Source organism: Homo sapiens, chromosome 9 (assembly GCF_000001405.40).
Source record: "Homo sapiens chromosome 9, GRCh38.p14 Primary Assembly".
Classification (NCBI taxonomy): domain Eukaryota; kingdom Metazoa; phylum Chordata; class Mammalia; order Primates; family Hominidae; genus Homo; species Homo sapiens.
In genome coordinates this window covers 123,127,618-123,145,022 of record NC_000009.12, presented here as the reverse complement: position 1 = coordinate 123,145,022, position 17,405 = coordinate 123,127,618, and the positions used below count along the sequence as shown (strand labels likewise).

General features: G+C 38.6%; 1 protein-coding gene across 11 annotated transcripts in view; it reads left to right on the top strand.

Moving 5' to 3' along the window:
- Positions 1 to 17,405, top strand: part of STRBP (spermatid perinuclear RNA binding protein) — a 159,093-nt gene that overhangs the window by 123,564 nt on the left and 18,124 nt on the right. For 10 of the 11 annotated variants that reach the window (XR_007061327.1, XR_007061326.1, XR_001746347.2 and 7 more), the window contains 5 exons: positions 5,336 to 5,494; positions 8,508 to 8,642; positions 8,842 to 8,982; positions 12,055 to 12,178; positions 16,765 to 16,809. Coding sequence is in view for 7 of the 11 variants with exons in the window: in NM_001376109.1 (NP_001363038.1) it covers positions 5,336 to 5,494; positions 8,508 to 8,642; positions 8,842 to 8,982; positions 12,055 to 12,178; positions 16,765 to 16,809 (604 nt within the window). In the remaining 4 variants the exon portion in view is untranslated. The remainder of the gene's footprint in view (positions 1 to 5,335; positions 5,495 to 8,507; positions 8,643 to 8,841; positions 8,983 to 12,054; positions 12,179 to 16,764; positions 16,810 to 17,405) is intronic. The other variant, XM_047423563.1, reaches the window with a different exon arrangement.

Genomic DNA, 17,405 nt, shown 5'->3' with positions numbered 1-17,405 from the left:
CCCTTTTCGAAAATGGGATAAACTAAACTTTGATCCATCCAGGTAGAATGAATTAAGAATCAGAGTAAACTAGCTTTGAAGATTTGAAAAACTCTGCTTACTTTATTTGGTTTATCAGCTATAGGATATGAAAACCTATTACTAGCTGTCAGTCTTAAGTGGCCTGCAGTCTTTTCTAGGCCTCTAACATCTCAGGTTTATGACTCTATAGCTTTATTCCATAATTTGCTATTTTGAGGTAGTTTGTTCTCCCTAAGGTCTTCATAGATTTTTTTGTGTTATGTCTTGTTTTCTAAAAGTTACTTTTGGCTTTTTAAATCTTATTATAAATGTATAATGTGTGTTTGTTATAAATGGTTTAGAAAATGAGGGGAAAAAATTCATAGTTCTAATACGTAGAAATAATAACCATTAACATTTTGGTATTTTTTCTTCCAAGCCTTCTTATTTTAACTTGCAATTCTAACTTCAGAAAGCATTAAAAATGAAAAAAATTTCCCTAAGTTTGATGCAAATTCACTGGGTGGCAAAACATGACCTGAATTGATGCGGGGCTATTTTTAGTCTTTAGTATTCTATTTAGTGGGATTATTTTATATGTTCCTTTGCATAAACATGGGGCAGCACCTGAGAATCCACTGGGGATTTGGAAAATACGTGGTATATGTATTGTATTAGATGTCAGAATTGAAAAATTATGAATTCTCAAAACAACCTGGCACCAAGGGTTTCAGATAAGGAATGGTGAACCTATATAATGTCTGTAAAAATATGTTTTTTAAAAATAGGATCTTTCTTTCTTTCTTTCTTTTTTTTTTTTTTTTTGAGACGGAGTCTTGATCTGTTGCCCAGGCTGGAGGGCAGTGGTGCAATCTCAGCTCACTGCAGCCTCTGCCTCCTGGGTTCCAGTGATTCTCCTGCCTCAGCCTCCTGGGTAGCTGGGATTACAGGCGACTGCCACCACGCCCAGCTAATTTTTATATTTTTAGTAGAGACGGGGTTTCGCCATGTTGGCCAGGCTGGTCTTGAACTCCTGACCTCAGGTGATCCTGCTGCCTCGGCCCCTCAAAGTGCTGGGATTACAGGTGTGAGCCACTGTGCCCAGCCGATACTCTCTTCATCTAAAAATATATTATGAATGTTTAAATAGCTAACTCAAAGATTGCTCTTATTGTTAGTGATGGTCTAACATTTCATTATTAGCAGATGGTCTGTTACAGTATCATAATGTAACTAATCATTTTAGATTTAGATACTTCCATTTTATTGCTTTACATCTTTCTGAACTTGTCTGGTGATCCCTTAAGATATATTCTAGAGATAGAATTATTGGGTCAAAAGATAAATACATTTTAATGATTCATTAATTTGTTAAAAAAATGCATTGGAATTCTTATTCTATGCCAGGCATATATTGCCAAATTGTTATCCATAAAAGTTATATCACATGTTATGCGTTGTTTATAATTGAGCGAGAAAGAATTTTGCATCTAACGTGTTTATGAAAGTAGGTCCAACTGAATAAAAATCCTTTTAGTTCTTACTCAATCGCTTGGTGAGGGTTTTGTACCTATTAAGACAAATCACATCAGAGAATCAAATCAAAAGAAAAGAAGAAATCAGTAGTTTCACATGAGTCTGGCCTGGCTGCAGAGCAGCAAGCACCCTAAAGTGGTGGAGAATTAGTGGCCAGGCTTCCCTTCACTCTTCCACTTCTCTATCCTGGCAGCCCCCCACAAAGGATACCTTTAGGGTCATAATCATCCATATTACATGAAAAGAATCTTAGTCATTGTGAGGAAAAGATCAGCTAGAAGGGGATGAAGGTGAAGAGAAGGTTCTTTGGAGAGGTTCTTAGAGACATCAGATTTCCTGAGAATCTGATGAAATCAGATCTCTATTATACAGAAGCCATGGATGTTACTTTCTTTTGAGTAGAGAGCCATGATGTAGAAAGCCATGTTTTCTTTTCATTCTTGGCCCCTAGTATTCGAGGGTATCATCTTTCTCAGTCACAGCCTTTCCTAACCTCTGCCCTCTTCCAGGAAGAAAGGGATTTGGTTACACACAGATGATTTCCCAGTCACCTTGTTTCCATGAGTGATCTTGTCATTTTTAAGCTCAATTGATGTATTAGGTTTGAATTTGTTTGCCAGATACTTGAAATTCACTTTTCTTTGGTATACTGGTTTTTTAGCATTAACATGGATTCCAAACAAACTTGGTTCTGCCAAAGAAAACCAGAGCTGGACAGTTGTTAAAACAGTAAAAAAAAAAAAGTGTGTTATCAGGAACTATTATTGCAATAGGGAAAAGAGACCTCAGTATAGAACTGGGCTCAATTCTGACTTCAACATGGACAAGTGAGGATTTGTAGCCAAGGAACAGGGATGGATCAGTGGATGGAAAATTACTAAGAGGAAACATCAGGATGAAGGGGGATTTCTGGCTAAACGGGACCCATTAGGATTCTTGCTCAGAGCAGGCCAGGGTGATCAGATACCACCTGGGCAGTGATGGACGTATTAGTCCATTCTTGCACTGCTATAAAGAAGTACCTGAGACTGGGTAATTTATAAAGGAAATAGGTTTAATTGGCTCACAATTCTGCAGACTGTACAGAAAGCATAGTGACTTCTAGGGAGGCCTCAGGAAACTTTTAATCATGGTGGAAGGGGAAGCAGGCACATCTTATGTGGTCCGAGCAGGAGGAAGAGAGAAGGGCGAGGAAGTGCCACATACTTTTAAACAACCAGATCTCTTGAGAACTCTGCCATGAGACAGCATTAAGGGGATGGTACTAAACCATTAGAAACTGCCCCTATGATCCAATCACCTCCCACCAGGCCCCACCTCCAACACTGGGGATTTCAATTTGACATGAGATTTGGGTGGGGACACAAACCATATCAATGGGGGATGAGGAAATTTGATCACATACCAAGGGTGATGGAGGGTGATTAAATATTGAGGGTGAGGGATTCTGGCTAAACCAATTTAGCAGGATTCTTGCTACAACATGGCTCTTAAGGACAAGGCCAAAGGATGGGGCCTTGATGAAAACATGGCTCAGAGGATCCTGTCTAGAGTTTGGTTAAGAGAATCTTTATCAGTTGCAGAGGTCTGAGAACTCCCTGCTTTTTTGACTTCTTAGCATATGCTAGTAAATACTGTTAGAATAACTGTTCATAAAAAATGATTTGATTTGAATTTTTTGGTTACACTGTGTTGGACACTTCCCTGAGATATAATCCACCAGTTATATAAAATATTTGTAAATGTATTGAAATATGTTGCTGTAATAATAATAAGTGAATCTGATATGTGAGAAAAGGGTGGAGAGAAGTATTAAATAATTTATATTAGCCTATTTTTATTGTCTATGTTGAGTCGAGAAAAGATGACTGTCCTTAGTTTTTATTGGAATAAACAAATCAAACTTATTTGTGATGTTTGGCTTTGACTTGCAGCCTGTGTTGGCTAGTGTTAATTCGGAATGATAGCTGTTCTTGGAGATGAGATTTCTCAGGGAGAGCATATTTACAGGACTCAGACAGTGGAGAAGGTGTTTTTAAAATAAAATATTAATAAGTATATAAACAAATGATGTTAATGTGCTTAGTGTAAAGTATTACCTGAGCACTTTTAGAACTTAAGATGTTAAAAAAGCGTTCTTGGCTTTACTCCCAAGCAAATACAAGACATTTTATTTATGATAAGAATGCCAAGTTCTCCATATGAATTGTGTGAATTAATTTCGAGTTCTCTTGGTACAGACTTCTATGTAGGTCGATTTTTTGGTTTAGGGTAACACTGTTTATATTGGCAAAATCCTTTATACAAGATGCAGTTGTTTATAAAGGCTGGCTTCTCATTTGTGTGGCCACCATAACCATTTTTTGGAGCACCTATTATGTACAGTTGTTACTATAAAGAAATATGATGTTGCTTTTAAATCTCAGCAACTTAAAACAGTTAAAAATGGAAACGAATGCAAGGGTCTTTAGGAATCTGTCCCTATATCCTCTGATGTAAACCTCTAATTAGTGACAAAGCTATATCAACCTCCTTTGAAAGAGGCTTACAAAAAGTGAACATATTCTCTTGTAAACATCTAAAAAGCAGTATAATCAGGAAGGTATTAAAAGGCACGTGTGTGGAGGTGTGTGAGCATGCCTGTGCACAATCATGCACACACATATACACATTCTTCTGAAAGCTTTATTTCAAAAAAGTAAGACAAATCCTGGGGATCGACTGAAAGTATAAGAAGTTTGAACGTTGGAGGTAGCCATAATCAGCCCTTGAGAGAGAGGGATGGAAATACAAGACTAAAATTGTTCCTGGCTTATTTAGTATAGAGAATAAACCTAGAGACTGAATCTTGTTTTTTTTTGTTTGTTTGTTTGTTTTGTTTGTTTGTTTTTTTGAGACAGAGTCTTGCTCTGTTGCCCAGGCTGGAGTGCAGTGGCGCAATCTCCGCTCACTGCAACCTCCGCCTCCCAGGTTCAAGCAATTCTCCAGCCTTAACATCCCAAGTAGCTGGAATTACAGGCATGCACCGCCACACCCAGCTAATTTTTGTATCTTTAGTAGAGACTGGTCTTACCATGTTGGCCAGGCTGGTCTCGAACTCCTGACCTCAAATGATCCACCCGCCTTGGCTTCCCAAAGTGCTGGGATTACAGGCATGAGCCACCGCGTCTGGCCGAGACTGAATCTTTTAAGTTTTGATTGTGGTCTATGTTGGAAGCAAAGTAGAAAGTTTTAGATGTTATTTTGTAATTGACAGGCAAGTTGGTTCAAAGATAAAAAATTTCTTGATTGCCTTTCTGGGCCAATTTCTCCTAATGGATTGAGTCATATAACTTAGAGGTCAACCAGTATAGTCTTCCTGTTTTGTAGATTGGAAAATTGAGGGCCAGAGGAGAAATACAGGATTAGACTCTCAGATTTTTTCCTTTCTAGACCAGGGTACTTTTTATAGTATGCTACTTCTGTCCTTATCCTATTGGTTTGAACCTAGCTATCCTGTTTGTTTTCTCTACCTCTCACCTCCAAATTAAATGAACTAGGAATAGCATCAGGTTTATATTTGTCATCCTGTATTTAAACTCAATTATCCTGAGGAGGTTTTCCCCATTTTTCCATGGTGCTACCCTGGTAGGTATACCATATTTAACCAAGGACTTACAGATTTAGTACCATCTTGCTCTTCCTGCAAGGTGTTTTATGGTTCAAACACTATGGATTTGAAACTTTTGTTCTCAATATTTTGTCTATTCTCTGGTTTCTCGTGTCTGAATAAAACTGCATTTTAATGTAATTTGTACAGGTATTGCAGGCAATGGGATATCCAACAGGCTTTGATGCAGATATTGAATGTATGAGTTCCGATGAAAAATCAGATAATGAAAGTAAAAATGAAACAGTGTCTTCAAACTCAAGCAATAATACTGGAAATTCTACAACTGAAACCTCCAGTACCTTAGAGGTATACTTATTTTTTTCTCAGAAAAAAAATAACATATATGTGCATTGTAGGAAATTTGAGAGATGTGGAAAAGTATAAATAAAATCAAAAGCATATGCAAACCTGTACATAAATTACAGAGACAGACATAATTATTATTTTGGTTTATTTCCATCCAGTTTTTTTCATGAATCTCTGTGAAGGCAGTCATCTTTTCATGCAGTTTTACATCTTGATTTTTTTCACTTTAAAAATATCTGTAAACTGCACAACACTTGAATATACCCTAATTTAACTAGTGTTTCCTGGTTGCTGGCCATGGAAGCTGCTTCCAATATTTCAGAATATACCAAGAGTATCAGCAGTAACTGATGGGCAGAAAACTACAAGATGTAGAGGAGGAAATTGGGATTATTTGAAGTTTGTGCTAAGCTGCGGGGTACATTGGGTCATCATTTAGTTGGTCCAGCCCTGAAGGAAGGCATAGCCTGACACAGTATGTATCTCAGACCCTAATTAAGTCCCGACTGGAACTTATTGTCGCAGATAATAGAATGGGATGAAATCCAAGTACTGAGTATACACAGTACATTGGGGAGTTCATGGAACCCATGTTTACTGCATTCTATGTAAAGAACATTAGCTTTAAAGTAACAGCAAGAGCTTACATTAGAAAAAAGGCTTAGTTTGTCATTTGTATGAATAAGTAGTTATTAAGGACTTAATTAATAAACTAATTTTTTCAGTCCATAAATCCCTTTTAATACCTGCTTAGTGCCAGGTGTTTCAGAAATTGTGTGCAGAGCCTGGAGATGCTCCCAGGCTAAAAGGGCAAAAAGAGGTGTTTATGACAAATGGTAATATAATGCGATAAGCTCTGTGATGGCAAAATGAACATAATAATGTCAAATCTTGAAGGAGGAAGGGGTTGTGAGACTCTTAGACATAACTTACACAATCATGTAAAATCAAAGGGAGTCCACTGTGAGCAAGGCTTCAGATGATGAGCTTTGCCGTGTGGGGAAGAGAAAGCATTCTGGACTGAAGGACGAGGAGGTGTTATGACTTTGAGTTGTGAAAGTAAATGTTTAAGAAGTGCCAAGTGGGCCAGTGTGGACAGGATTGATGGGGCTGAAGCCTGAGAAAGCCACACTTGGCACTTTGTGTGATGCTGTGGAGGACAGATGATGTCATGGCTGGCTGCTCAGAGGGACCAGTCATTCACAGGTGGCAGTCACAGGTCAAGATGTTGTTTTGCTGACAATGTTACATATACTAAAAGAAAAAAGGGCTCATTAATTATGAGGTCCAGACCATTAAGTACAAAGGTAATTAGAAAGGGAGAGAGCAGTGTGGGCTGCACTAGTAGCAGCTACACTGACATAAAAAGTTTTGGTAGTGACTACATTTATACTTTGTTTCTGTATATTGTAGTAATGGTGGGAAGGAAGGAGAAAACAAAGCCCTTATTTATTTCTTCGTTTAAAATAATAGTACTTTATTAAAATTCAGATATTTTTATGTCTCGACTCATTTTTGTAGACATGATTTCAGGTTTGGAAAGCATAGAGTGATTACTATAGACCTAGTTTCAAAAATCACTCATTATCTTTTAAAGACAGTGACTAGAAATTTGCCTTGAAATTCAAAAAATGCAGATTATAAAAACTCATCAAGAAGAGATGTTTATTGATGTTACTGATGTTTTTAAACTTGTCCTTAAAAATTGTCCTTTGATGTTTCACGTCTGAAGCATCAACCACTTATCCAAACTGCACGGAATACTTTACTAAGAGAATCTTGATTTTCATTAGGTTTATATATGTAATACTTAATATTTTGGGCTGGGCATGGTGGTGCACACCTGTAATCCCAGCACTTTGGGAGGCTGAGGCAGGCGGATCACCTGAGGTCAGGAGTTTGAGTGCACCCTGGCCAACGTGGCGATACCCTGTCTCTACTAAAAATACAAAAATTAGCCGGGTGTGGTGGCAGGTGCCTGCAATTCCAGCTACTTGGGACGCTGAGGCAGGAATTACCTGAACCCAGGAGGTGGAGGTTGCAGTGAGCCGAGATTGCACCACTGCACTCCAGCCTGGGCCACAGAGCGAGACTCTGTCTCAAAACAACAACAACAACAAACAAAAAAAACAAAATTAACACTTTTGGACATTTATTTTGTGTGTTCAGCATTTCTTGTGTGGTGGAATTACAGACATGATCTCTGACCTCAAAAAGTGCCCTATCTTTTGGTTTCTCCTTTCTCAAAATTATAGTTGTATTTTGTGGGTTTATTTGTTAGTTTGCTTTTGATGCTAGCCTCTGTTTTCATTTGCACCTTCATGCTCTTGCATGAATTATTTCACTACTTCTATTCTTATCCTTCCTCAAATCAGTTATTTCCATAGCATGTATCTCCTCTTTAACATACGTTATTTTGCAGTGATGATATCTGTCCCTCCCACTACACTCTAGCTCCTTGAGGGCAGAGAGTGACTGCCTTTATTGTTATTTTAAAATTTCAGAATCCATAGTCTATAGCCAACTGTTTTTACCTTAGGTCCCCTTAAATCTGTTTAGAGTGACTGAGAGGTGTATGGGAACATTTACCCTCTAACATCCCAAATTGAGAGTTATTTCTTCCTAACCCTAAAGAAGAAAAATGATGAACCCTTAGGCATCACGTGAATCCAAACTGTTCTATTCTCGTTATTAGTAATTTAGAGTATTATTCTTAGATCACGAACACTACAGAGCAGAGCCTGGAGTGGCCCACAGTGGTGAGGTTGCATTGATTGGTCTTGAATACTGCTTCGAAGGAAGGCTGGCCAGATGACTGCAATGTTTACTGCTTGTAGAGTTTTTACAGCTTTAATGATATTTTGCCATTTGTGTAAAGAGGTGACTCATTCTAGCCCCTGAGTGCTTTGAAGTAGAATTTTTGAGCCTCCTTCTTAGCATAATTGTATTAATAAGAAATGTAATATTCTAAAATCTTACTTGATTGAACCTTCAGATTCCCTTTCTCTTATAGGTAAGAACTCAGGGCCCTATCCTCACAGCAAGTGGCAAAAACCCTGTAATGGAGCTCAATGAAAAAAGAAGAGGTCTCAAGTATGAACTCATCTCAGAGACTGGTGGAAGCCATGACAAGCGCTTTGTAATGGAGGTGTGTACCCAGACACAAGCCAGCCTTATCTTTCTTCTCAAAGACATAGGATATCCTGAACTTAATGTAAAGTTTTAGACTGAGTCAGTTCTTGTGGCACTATTTGATTTTTGGTGTTTTCTGTGTCATAATCTATTTAAATTAAAAGGACATAGAGGAATTGCATGGGATAATTGCAAGGTGTTATTCTTGATTGTAGGTAGAAGTAGATGGACAGAAATTCAGAGGCGCAGGTCCAAATAAGAAAGTGGCAAAGGCGAGTGCAGCTTTAGCTGCCTTGGAGAAACTGTTTTCTGGACCCAATGCGGCAAATAATAAGAAAAAGAAGATTATCCCTCAGGTATGAGTAAACATTAAACCTTTGCAGAACCTGTGAAAAATGTTAGAGGAATTAAATTTTCTTTCCTGTCCATGTGGCACTTTAGCTTTTTCTGAAGTTGTTTCCTTTTCTTGGACTTGGTGACCTTTGCTTTGGGTTAGGTCACGAATAATATAAATTTGATTAGTGGTTTCATGTTCTATGGACTTTCTAAACAAAATATATATGTACATGTATATTTATATTTATATGTATATATGAGGCTATTAGCATTATTTGGAGGGTTGAGGTCATTCTTGATGAAGTCAGGTTTTGAGGTGATTTGGACCTTAGTGAGGTCTAAGCAGTTTAGTTTGGGGAAGCTGCCAGGAGCACCTGGGGCTTTGCTTTCATCAGCCTGCGGGTGCTCTTCCAGTTCCTTTGCAGTTTCGTGCTTTTGCATTGTTTATTTTGGGTTTCCTTTGCCGACCGCATAAAATTTGGCGCTGTATTGTGTCTGTTCATTACTGACACTGGGAATGTCAGTGCTACTGAATGTCCAGGATCTTAGCAAGGTATTTAGAAAAGATGGCCCTCTAATTACATGCTTGTGGATATGAGATTCTTCCATCCATTCATTTATGCATTCAAAAAACATTTTCTAGTCATACATCATATGCCTGATAGTGAGGGAAAGAGTAAGTAAATATAAGACACATTGTGCCTCATAGAGAGTACTGGTATAATAACATAACATCTGAATATATTATATGATAGAAATTAAAAATGCTTAACGTAATAAAAAGAAGCTTAGATTGTTTAATTCTACATTAAACATTATATTTAGATTCCATTATGTATGCTATGTCCATTGTAGGAGGGTAGAATTGATCTTATTTTACAGGTAAGGAAACAAGGCCCAAAGAAATGGAAATACTTGCCTGTGGTAACACAGCTAATTGATGGTGGGGGTTCCTTCTAGAACCAGGTAGTTCTCCCAAAGGCCATGGACATTTTACTATTGCATATTGTATCCATCTCAAAATTTGTTTTGTATTCATTTAAATTTCTTGTATTTGCTATAATAAACACTGCTTAAATTCTAGGATCCAAAAGGTAGAGAAAACTTATTTTAATGAGATGAAAAAATTTTTAAAGCCTTTAAATTACGCATGTCGAAAACAAGTAGATTTTATTTTCTAAAATCTTCTGGTAAACATAGAACAAAGTATGTTCTAAATTAGTTGAAAGATGATTCTTGTTTTATGAGCTTGTTTTATGGTGTTTTTTCCCATATTACATCTTATGTTTGGTCAGTTAATTTTAGTTTAAAAAGCCCATGTGCAAATATTTATTAGGTAGTTAAGTTTGTTCTACTAGACATGAGCTAGATTTGTGTGGAATCATTCTGCTACTGCCAGATTGTTGCTTGCTGACTACTTTTGACTAAGTCATGTTAAAAAAAGAAAGATGTCTACATGAAGTTCACTCATTTTTAGAAATTTTCCATACTATAAGCTATAAAACTCATGTGTTCAATGTGCTTGACGGCCAAGAAGCAATCTATTTTGGATATGTGGGTTGGTTTATTTCAGAGAAAAACAAAAACGGCAGTCCCTGTGCATGACACAGTTAACCTTGAAACTGTCTCCTGCCCATTCATACTAGAGGTAGAGGTTCCTGCCCATTCATACTAGAGGTAGAGGTTATCCTGGAAAGAATAAAGGATGTTGCATTTTCAAAGTGAGATAAACCAATGTGTATGTATTCTGACTCTTTCAGCTTCTTAGACACTGTTGACTTTATCATAGAGTACGCTTTGAGGCTTTGCACCACTTTCTTGCACCTTGGTTATAGTGGGGAATCTTAATTGTTTCTAGCTTGAGTTTTTGTTGCATTTCTATAAGTATAATATTCAATTTGAAACTAGACACCTTTTGATTTTCTTAAAATTTAGTTTGGAAAAGAGGTTTTTCAACAGTCCTGTTTACTGTTACTCCCGGTGTTATCTGTTGTATTTTTAGAATGTTTTTATATCTGTTCTCTCGTTGTTCTTTCTACTCTAAGGAAAACAAAGTATCATTATTCTCATTTTATAATTCTCGGTTACTGTTTCAACTCTAAGGAAAACAAAGTGGGTATCATTATCCACATTTTTAATTAGTGGGGAGATTTCCATAGATTATGGCATTTTAGAGAAAGAAGGGGCTTTCAAAGTGGTATTTATTTATTTAATAATGGGGCCAGGTGCGGTGGCTCACACCTGTAATCCCAGCACTTTGAAAGGAAGCTGAGGTGGGCAGATCACTTGAGGTCAGGAGTCAAGACCAGCCTGGTCAACATGGTGAAACCCTGTCTCTACTAAAAATACGAAAATTAGCCAGGTGTGGTGGCGGGTGCCTGTAATTCCAGTTACTTGGGAGGCTGAGGCAGGAGAATCACTTGAACCTGGGAAGGTGGAGGTTGCAGTGAGTCGAGATCGCACCATTGCACTCCAGCCTGGGTGACAGAGCGAGACTCCGTCTCAAAAAAAAAAACCAAAAAAAGATAATTAGTAGTGGATACATACATACACAAACAGCAGAGGAATCGGGCTCCAAGAAATCATATTACCTTCCTGAGGTCACAGTTACTTAGAGCAGGAACTGGCATCCTCATCTTTGGTCCTCCTGTCTTAGTCCTTTATGTTTTCCCCCCACTAGCCCCACTCAGATTCGCAGTTAATTCTATGTAATTAGTTGCTCAGATATTTTCTGCCTGTTGGCAGATAATTTACTGGATTTGGAACCTAGGTACCAAGTGTGTATGATTACTTTAGTAAGGCCTAAAATGACTTTGGATATAAATTGATTACTGAAATTTGGTGTAGAAAATGAACTCTTTCTGGATAACCCTCAAGCAAAAAGAAGTTATTTGCATATTCTCTTAACATCTCTGTAAGGTAGGTATCATTTTTGTTTTTCAGATGATAAATTGAAGGTTCAAGATCACAGACAGCTCATGGTCTCACCCACGTGCTCACAGTTTCTCATAGTTGTTGTGCGTTGAAGAGATGATAGAAGAAATAAAATGGTTCTTATTTCTTTCAGTAATGAAAATGTGTTATTTTAACAGGCAAAGGGCGTTGTGAATACAGCTGTGTCTGCAGCAGTCCAAGCTGTTCGGGGCAGAGGAAGAGGAACTCTAACAAGGGGAGCTTTTGTTGGGGCGACAGCTGCTCCTGGCTACATAGCTCCAGGTATAGTACAAACTGCAAGAGATTGGCCCCCTTTACTGGGCCGAAATTCAAAGAATAGCATCTCCTGCATTTTCTAAGGTTGTACAGGGTTTGTGGAAATATAACACAGGCATGAATGTACACAGAAATTTAAAAGTAGAGAATTGGCAGAATGTCATAGGTGTTCTCCTGGAATCTGCTGAGTGAGGAGAGGCTACCTGGAGGGAGATGACAGATGAGCAAATTGCATTTGGTTGTGGGACTGTATTTTGACAAGGAATTAAAGGATATTCCATAGATTGAGAAGGGTGAGCAGGGTGTTTTCATCGAGGACATAGATGACAGGTTGGGTATAACAGGAGAGAAAAACTGCTAAGAGGTTACTTAATTAGGGTGAAGCCTGGCATTATTAGTGTTTGTTAAACTTAATGTTTGGGAACCATCAAAGGCTAAAGAAATACACAAAGGAAAAAAAATTTATCCAGAGCTTACTATATATACTAGATATTTTCATGTAAATAATTTTACCTATTAAATTGTTTTTAATTTAATTTAATTTAATTTGTTTTTAATCTTCACAGTGTTTCATCAGGTAGAAATTATTTTCCAAGGAAGGAAACTGGTATTTAGGGAGATAAGGCAGCTAGCTCAGGGTGAAGCAACCACTAAACCACAGAGCAAGGATTTGAATGTAGGTGTTTGCATTTCCAAAGTTCATATTCTTTCCATTCCACCACATAGCTTAAAGAAGATTTGGGAGAATGCCCTCTCTCTGCCTTCCCTTCTAATTCTTATGTCATTTTAACAGTAGATTATCCAGCTGTCTTGTTAAAATCAAGTTCTTCACAATATTGAAAGTATAGTACTTTAAACTGGACAAGTAAACCACTTGTAGATACTGATCAAGATAAAATTGTCATGAAGATTGGGTCTTATCCAGTCATTGTTTTTTAGGTAACATCCCTAAGGGTTCACTTTGTGCTTTCCTCTAAGAAAGAATAAGACTAGGCCATTTGGGAAATTTTATGATGTGGCTTTGGAATGATTCTTCTAGAAGATAATCCTAGTAGGTAAATTGCTCAAGGAGTGTGCCTGCTTTGGCACACAGCAGACATGGATTTTGTTCTCATGCAGCTTACAGTCTGAAGGGTGAGACGTAGATTAATCAAGTAATAACAACGAGAAACTGAGATGAGTATGATGAAAAAGAAGGACATGCTGCTGTGAGAGCATGTAACAGAGAAACCTGGTCTAGTTTAGTGGGTCCCTGGAGGCTTCCCAGAAGAAGGGACATTTGAATTGGGCTTTGAAGAATGAATAGGAGTTAACTCAAAGAAGACTGGGATGGGAGAGTGTTGCATACAGAAGGAACAGCATGTGCAGAGACCTTGTGTTGCTGTTGGGGAATTTGGCTCAATTGAAGAAGCAGAAGTCCAGAATGTGTGGAATGTGGTGAGCACTGAGTGGCAGAAGTGGAGAGACTGGGGAATGATGTGAATTAAAGCTGGATGACTCAGTCCCAGACCTGGAGGCCGTTGTTTGGATTTTGGTCTTAGAACCCTAAGCACAGTGTTAAGTCTTGATGGGTTCTTAGGAGAATAGTGACAAGATCAGACTTTATTTGTGAAGGTTAGTCTTTCTATAGTGTGAAGAACAGGAGGTAGGGATAGGTGTGAGCATTGACAAGATCAGTTAGAAGGCATATAGTTTACAGTAATGTATTGTACATTTCAAACTGGCTAGAAGAGTTCAAATGGTTCTAGCATAAAGAAAGGACAAATATTTAAGATGATGGGTATCCTAAGTTCACTGATTTGATCTTTATAAATTACATGGGTATATTAAATTATCACACGAACCCCGGAACTATGTACATCTATTATGCCTCAGTTAAAAAAGGGCTACTGAAGACTACTAACCCAGGCAAGAGACATTGATAGTATTGCTACTGGAGGCAGGGAAGAAGAAAGGGGGAGACCAGAAGAGAACAGATGGGAGGAATATAAAGGAAGCAAAATTGGTGTATTGAATATATAGAAAGAAGAGTGATGTTTCAAGGATATCTCAGCTCCTAGGGTTTTTAGCTGGAGCATTGGGGGAAAAGGAAAAGGTTATGAATTTCTTATGGTGTGACATAGTTTATGAGTCTAAAATTAAGACAGTCTTCTGTGTGTCTCACTATTTCTACTGATATTTAATAATTTTAGCCTTATTCAGTGTATTATTGAAAGGGCAAAGCTTTCATTCACAATAATAGGCGGGTTATAGAGATGAACTATCTTTCTTGTCTTTGATGATGTGTTCTATTGGGGCTTAATCTGGTCACGTCTCTTGTTGCCGCGGACCATTTACCACCTGCTAGAGTGGTAAATGGCTATGGTCCAGTGGCAGTAATCATGAAAGGAACCGTTTATGGCCACTCGTTGCCAGGCTTTACTCTATAGTGACTCCTCTCTTGTGTCATTGCATTGACCTCCCTGAAAGGCCTGTGTCCCGAAGCTTTTAAAAATGAAGTTATTTTATGGCCGAGACAAGATTCAGATTAGGTCCCTTTAGATTATGAATAGGTTATATACCATTTGCACAGTATATTCTGTGCAGCAGGGACTGTTGTCAGTATATTTACATGTATTATTTAATTAAATTCCCCTGGCAACTCAGTTACTGTACATAGAACACTGAAGCTCAGAGAGGTTAAATAACAGGTGCCATTCACAGATACCTTGCTAGGAAAAGGTGAAGTTAGAATCAGGACTCCAGTGTCCTGATGAATGACCTAGTTAGTACTTGTGGTCTCATTTCTTCTTAAGGAGGTTTTGGTATAATCCTTAGAACTGCAGCCTTAGCCAAACAGCTTCTGTTTTCTGGAATAAATTTGATAGCTAACCTTTTTTAAGCATTAATTTCTTTTTTGGCCTCTGATCTGTCTCCTCTTCCTACTGCTTATTTCAGCTACATGTGTCCTCTTGAATATGATTTAGTGAGCACTCAGACTGAGTTATATGACTTAACTATAGACTAAAAAGTAAAAATTGTTCATCCCTCAGAACTGTTTCAGTTGGTCCCTAAAAGCAGTTTACTTCTTCAGCATACATTTGAATGCGTTGTCTCAAACAGGAGATTTAGAACTTGGCATTCAGAGAAGACCTAGCCTCTGCCCCAGTGACTGCCTGGGGTAGGACCAGATAATTGAATAAACACAATGCAATATGATGCAAGTATAACATGGGTTGGGCAAAAGAGAGAACAGCAAGTCTGGGAGACTTTGTAGGGGAGGTGATAATTGATCCTGTTCTCAAGGGTGAGTTGCAGTTGGTCATCCAGAGAAGGAGGGAGTGAAATCATTCTGAATAGCAGAAGTGGTTACAAAAAAAGGAGTGGTAATGTGAAAAAGCTCCATTTGTTTTGGGTACTGTGTAAAAGTGCCATGGTGATTTTGTGCCCTTGTTCTACTTTAGAAATTTTTTTCATTTATAAATGAATAAGTTGTTGTTATTATTATTATTATTGAGACATGATCTCTCTCTGTTGCCCAGCCTGGAGTGCAGTGGTGTGATCATGGCTCACTGCAGCCTCGACCTCCTGGGCTCAAGTGATCCTCCCACCTCAGCCTCCTGAGGAGCTGGGACTACAGGCATGCACCACCATACCCAGCTAATTTTTTGTTTTTCTGTAGAGATGGAGTCTCACTATATTGCCCAGGCTGGTCTCTAACTCCTGGGTTCAAGCAGTCCTCCTGCCACAGCCTCCAAAATTGCTGGGATTACAGGCATGAGCCACCACACCTGGCCCCAAGTAATTTTTATCTACATATTACCTATATCTAAGCTGTTTTACTAAAAGAGTAAAAAGATTGCAGCTTCTGTTAATATAGGTAATATTTCTAATCCCTACTAATATGGTATAAAAACTTCTTTGTACTTGCTTTTACTTAATAATGTGAGCCTTTTTCATAGGTACCAGAGGCTGATGTCAAATTCACCAGCATTTACAGAGAGACCCTGTACTTGGGCCAGAAATTGAAATATCAGCAAGTCATAGACCTTGCCCTTGGGCTCACGACCTGACTCATGTGCCTGTTTTAATGGCCATTGAGACCTCAGCCTGCTCTCTCACTACTTTCTGAAGATACTTGGAAAGTTCTGTTTGCTAACTTTGAGAGATTGGTAGTTTGAGTGGTTTTAAGTATTCTTTTGTTCAACAAATTATATTTAGAGAGTGGCTACTATATATATCATACATTCTGCTAGGTTCAGATGATGCGACGACGGATAAGTTTGACCAGGTCTATGCTACTCTAGTGGGGAACCCAGACAAGGAACTGATAGTTAATAGAGTGTGGGGTCAGTGAGTGCAGTGAGAAAGAGATGTAGGACAGTCTGGCACATCTAGGAGAGCCTTGTAGGCCATGGTGAGGAGCTCCCACATCTTAAGCAGGCACACAGAGAGTGGCTAGACTGGGACCATTCTGGCAGTGGTTCTCATTCATCCAACATCTGGAAGAAGTCCTCCGGGCCCAGGGTGCTGAGCAGGTGGTGCTTGTGAATTGGGCCAGTGATGATTGCCCTGGGTCTTGGACTGATCTGCCTTCTTCTTCTTTGCACTAGGCTATGGAACACCATATGGTTACAGCACAGCTGCCCCTGCCTATGGTACGTACACCATCTTACTGATATCTCCTCTTAGCGACTGTCACAGCAATCCAAAGCACAGTTTCTATCTAGGGTTTTTGTAAATTAATTGGAGGATCTCAGATTTATTCATTCTAGTGACCCAACTTAAATTCCTTTTGAAAATGCCACAACCTTGTGGTTCTTGGTTTGGTTGGAGTTGCTCTTCTCTCCGCTTTGCCTGATTGAAGGACTGCTTGTTCTAATTGCCTGTTTCTGACCATATTGAAATTAAATATTTTAAGTAGTTCTTCTTACAGCCAACTGATACTCCATTCAAAGGCTACTGAAGGGCCATACTCAGTTGCTAGCTTGGCTGCCTACCAGTTTTAAAGCCACACTTAAGTTTCTGGTTTGGAACCGTGTGAGTTGTGGGTAACTTAAGTCAAGAATAGGAACTGCTCACTTCAAATTTGTAGCCTTCATTCTTTTCCATAACTTTGCTTTGGGGTTGAAGTAAATGGGTATCATTGGCCCTAGAGAGGAAGTGATAGTGGGTTTCACCAGCAGTCTTACTTAAGTGCTCGCTGCAGGAAGTCTGTAGTACATGCTAGAATATCATAGGTGTTTCTCTTCTC